The sequence below is a fragment of the Homo sapiens genome, chromosome 5 (assembly GCF_000001405.40).
Source record: "Homo sapiens chromosome 5, GRCh38.p14 Primary Assembly".
Taxonomy (NCBI): Eukaryota; Metazoa; Chordata; class Mammalia; order Primates; family Hominidae; genus Homo; species Homo sapiens.
Window position 1 is genome coordinate 166,783,810 of NC_000005.10, and position 4,745 is coordinate 166,788,554.

Below are 4,745 nucleotides of genomic sequence, written 5' to 3' on the forward strand. Positions count from 1 at the left end.
TCAGGAGTGAAGCTGCAGACCTTCGCGGTGAGTGGTACAGCTCTTAAGGTGGCGCGTCTGGAGTTGTTCGTTCTTCCTGGTGGGTTCGTGGTCTCCCTGGCTTCAGGAGTGAAGCTGCAGACTTTCGTGGTGAGTGTTACAGCTCATAAAGGCAGTGTGGACCCAAAGAGTGAGCAGCAGCAAGATTTATTGCAAAGAGCGAAAAAACAAACCTTCCACGTTGGGGAAGGGGACCCAAGCGGGTTCCCACTGCTGGCTCGGGCAGCCTGCTTTTATTCTCTTATCTGGCCCCACCCACATCCTGCTGATTGGTCCATTTTACAGAGAGCCAATTGGTCTGTTTTACAGAGAGCTGATTGGTCCGTTTTGACAGGGTGCTGATTGGTGTGTTTACAATCCCTGAGCTAGACACAAAAGTTCTCCAGGTCCCCACTAGATTAGCTAGATACAGAGTGTGGACACAAAAGTTCTCCACGTCCCCACTAGATTAGCTCTATACAGGGTGTCGATTGGTGCATTCACAAACGCTGAGCTAGACACAGGGTGCTGATTGGTGTGTTTATAAACCTTGAGCTAGATACATAGTGCCGATTGGTGTATTTACAATCCCTTAGCTAGACGTAAAGATTCTCCAAGTCCCCACCAGACTCAGGAGCCCAGCTGGCTTCACCCAGTGGATCCGGGACCAGGCTGCAGGTGGAGCTGCCTGCCAGTCCCGTGTGGTGGGTCAGCACTCCTCAGCTCTTGGGTGGTCCATGGGACTGGGCGCCGTGGGGCAGGAGGCGGCACTCGTCGGGGAGGCTCGGGCTGCACAGGAGCCCACAGCGGGCGTGGGAGGCTCAGGCATGGCGGGCTGCAGGTCCCAAGCCCTGCCCCGAGGGGAGGAAGCTAAGGCCTGGCGAGAAGTCGAGCACAGCAGCTGCTGGCCCAGGTGCTAAGCCCCTCACTGCCCTGGGCTTGCGGGCCTGCCAGCCGCTCCGAGTGCCGGGCCTGCTGAGCCCACGCCCGCCCGAACTCATGCTGGCCCACAAGTGCCGCGCACAGAGCCGGCTCTGGCCTTGGCCAGCCCAGAAAGGGGCTCCTACAGCGCAGCAGCAGGCTGAAGGGCTCCTCAGGCACGGCCGGAGTGGGTGCCAAGGCCGAGGAGGCACCAAGAGCGAGCAAGGGCTGCGAGGGCTGTCAGCACGCTGTCACCTCTCACTAATGATAACTTGAATCCTTGAAAGACCTCTGAACTCACCAATGAGAAATCCTGAAATCTACCAGTTTGAAGTCCTGAAGAGTTACACGTGGGGTAGCTCACTCTTAAATCCCGAGCCAGGGGGTAGCAGGGTGGCACACAGGCTTAGGGGACGGCAAAATACAAATTTTAATTCTAGCCTCTGTACTAACTTAACCTGGATAAGTTACCAAAACGAAGTTTCCTCAACTGTAAAATGGTGATGTCCCTTTCTCACAGGGTGGTTATGAAGATTATATGAGATGGTATTCATACAATTCCTGGCATGTAGCAACATTCAATAAGTAGCAGCCAAAAATCAAAGTATCCACTGTGAAAGTGTCATTTGGGAACCATAATCACAGAGTTTCCTAGGACTTAAGGGCTCAATCTTACTCTTTCAGGCTCAGGGACAAATGCTTAGCATTAAGTTCAGGGCACCAGAGCCCACTTCCCTATTTTCAGTAACTTGTACAAGGGTGTAGCACCAGCATTAGAAGGAAGAAACCAGAAGAGCAGAATATGGAGTCAACATAAAACATTAGGAGCATCTTGAGATATGCCCTCCTTTGTTTGTCTCTTACATGTTTTGGTGAGTGGTGATGTTCTTATAGAATTAAGAATTGTTTCCTTTTTGCCATCTGGTTTTCTAAGACTAGGAAATATTTTGATACATAAAATGAAACACCACTGGTGAAAAGTTTGTTTTCCTCTCTTAGTATATTCTGGAATGGCTTGAAAGCCAATGACTGTTTGACATTCTGAAATTTTAAACTGATGACTTGCCGTTTGTAGAAGAGGACCACGGAAAAACCTTGAGTCTCCCCAGTGAGATGTGATATTCTTGCTGTTTTCGATGCAGAGCTACCGAGTATTATACCTTATAAGGGGATAAGTGCTGTAATGTTACTGCTGAAATGACAAACTGAGAAGGCACTAGGAGAATCTCCATGAATTACCCAACTTCTTTCATTTAATGAGTACCTACCACATGCTCAGTACACAATGCTGAATACACAGTTCTGTGTATTGTGTACCAAATGCCGCTAGACACCAAGGATACAGGTACCAATGAACTCCACCCTGGCTCGGTCCCATGAGAAAACTGCCAGGTACATGGGAAAATGAGTGGCCTAGTAGTTCTCTAAGAGTACTGCTGAGGAGGAGGCAAGGAAGGCTGGCATGAATTTTTCAGAACAAGTGGTTATTCACTCTCTTCTCAGCTTTAGCTTCCAAACCAATTGAGAAATAAATATAAGAGTGAGAGTGATGGAATGAGCAGCTTCATTACAGTAAAGCTGAATGAGAGAATGTGGCTGGGACTAAAGGCCACGTGTTTTTTCCTGTTCCCACATATGCAGCCACCTGCTCAAATATACTGATTCCTCCCCCAATCTCCAGCAGAGGAGCTGGGCCACTGCCACCTCCCCTGGCTAGGGCAGAGCTGGCCTCAGTGGCTCACCATGCAGGGGAGACACAGGTGTCGGGCTGCAGGTGGCTCATTTCTGAAAAGTCCCCAAGGAGGATAATGAATACACAATAGCACTTTCCCTCTTTACTACAAAAGTTCCATTACCTCCCGCGAACGTAAATAAGAAATGGGGTTAGAAGACCAGGCGCGGTGGCTCACGCCCGCAATCCCAGCACTTTGGGAGGCCGAGGCTGGCGGATCACCTGAGGTCAGGAGTTTGAGAGCAGCCTGGCCAACATGGCGAAACCCTGTCTCTACTAAGAATACGAAAAAATTAGCTGGGCGTGGTGGCACGTGCCTGTAGTCCCAGCTACTCAGGAGGCTGAGGCAGGAGAATCGCTTGAACCTGAGAGGCGGAGGTTGCAGAGAGCTGAGGTCACGCCACTGCACTCCAGGATGGGTGATAGAGTGAGACTGTCTCACAATAAAAAAAGCGGGGCGGCGGGGGGGTGGTTAGAAACAATGGTGAACACTTTCCCCCACCTAAGAAGCCAACAGAAACTATATTTTAGCTCAAGAAGGAAGCATGTTTAGAGAGGAAAATCTGTGCCCTTTACAGTGCTTTTTTTGAGCTGAGTCATGAAGGAAGAAGAGGAATCTGCAGAAAAAGAAAGGGGGAAGCATTTCAGACAAACAGCACAGTGAGTGTGAAAGCAGAGGTGCATTACAGGGCTCCGCATGTGATCCAGGCGAATAAAGAGAACAAAAGAGATTTGCTTTCGGATTTATGTTTACAGCTCCCAATATGTTTTACTATCAGTGACGTTATTTTGATCTTTACGGTAATGCTGAGAGGTAAAATTGTGATAACAATTGATATTCCTATTTTACATGGCAACTGAGATTGAATGAGCTAAGTTATACACTTCACACAGTATTCGGAATACAATTAGCAAGTATGATCCCATTATTATTGCAACCACTAGAATTATGTTTATTACTAGGACAGTTATTATTTATTTCTATTATTACTGCCAAGTTCTCATGGCTAGTAAGTGGCATAACTAGTAAGCCCCACTGCTGGTAAGTGCTATGGCTAGTGATTCCTGTATTAAGTGGCAGAGCTGAGGTTCAATGACATGGCATCTGGTAGATTTCAAGGACTTAATAAGCACCTTCAAGAACTGTAAAGACTATCCTATTATATGAGCAACATACCCTGTCACTGTTTGGTGGGCACTGGCACAAGAGACCCATGACTAAGAAAAAAACGTTATTGCTCATGGCACAGCAGGAGGTATGGGCTTCGTGTTCTCATTGGTTCTCCACGTTTCGCAAGTTCCCCAAGGGTGATGTGGAGTGGCCCAGGTGGATGTTGCACACACCCTGCGTTTGCATCACAGTTGAAGAATCTGAAGCTTAGAAAACCTCTGATTTTGGCCAGATATGGTGGCTCACACCTGTAATCCCAGCACTTTGGGAGGCCGAGGCAGGCGGATCACGAGGTCAGGAGATCTAGACCATCCTAGCCAACATGGTGAAACCCCATCTCTACTAAAATACAAAAATTAGCTGGGTCTGGTGGCACATGCCTATAGTCCCAGCTACTTGGAAGACTGAGGTAGGAGAATTGCTTGAACCCAGGAGGTGGAGGTTGCAGTGAGCTGAGATCACGCTGCTGCACTCCAGCCTGGCAACAGAGCAAGACTCTGTCAAAAAAAAAAAAAAAAACTCTGATTTTATACAGGGTTGACCCTTCCCAGCTTTTGCCTGGAGGGAGATATTATCTTTATTATCCTGGTGAGAAAACAGATCTGCTCCTTGCCCTAGAGGAAGACAGGATCTCTATCTTCTAAGGCTGCTGGCTATGCAGACATCCTTGAAAAAGAGAGTGGAATAAAAACTAATATAAACATGCAGAAACAAAGAATTGTCTCTCAACAAGCACATTGAGGGAAGGTTACTCTCACATTTTTGTTTTCAGGCCACTTGGCTAATCTAACAGCACTCAGAGAAAGTTAAATTGATGCAAATAGCAGAGAGATCAAAGATAAGCTTGGTAAACAGATTCTATTCCCCTGAAACTTCCTTACAACTCTTCCTTTAAGGTACTGG

At 47.7% G+C, this 4,745-nt stretch overlaps 1 annotated feature.

The window, feature by feature from the left end:
• Positions 2,335-2,836: an enhancer, noted in NCBI's record as "H3K4me1 hESC enhancer chr5:166213149-166213650 (GRCh37/hg19 assembly coordinates)". NCBI's record gives its function as "activates a minimal SCP1, AML or CMV promoter by ChIP-STARR-seq in naive H9 embryonic stem cells {active_cell/tissue: H9 hESC(naive)}" and the evidence as "EXISTENCE:reporter gene assay evidence [ECO:0000049][PMID:30033119]".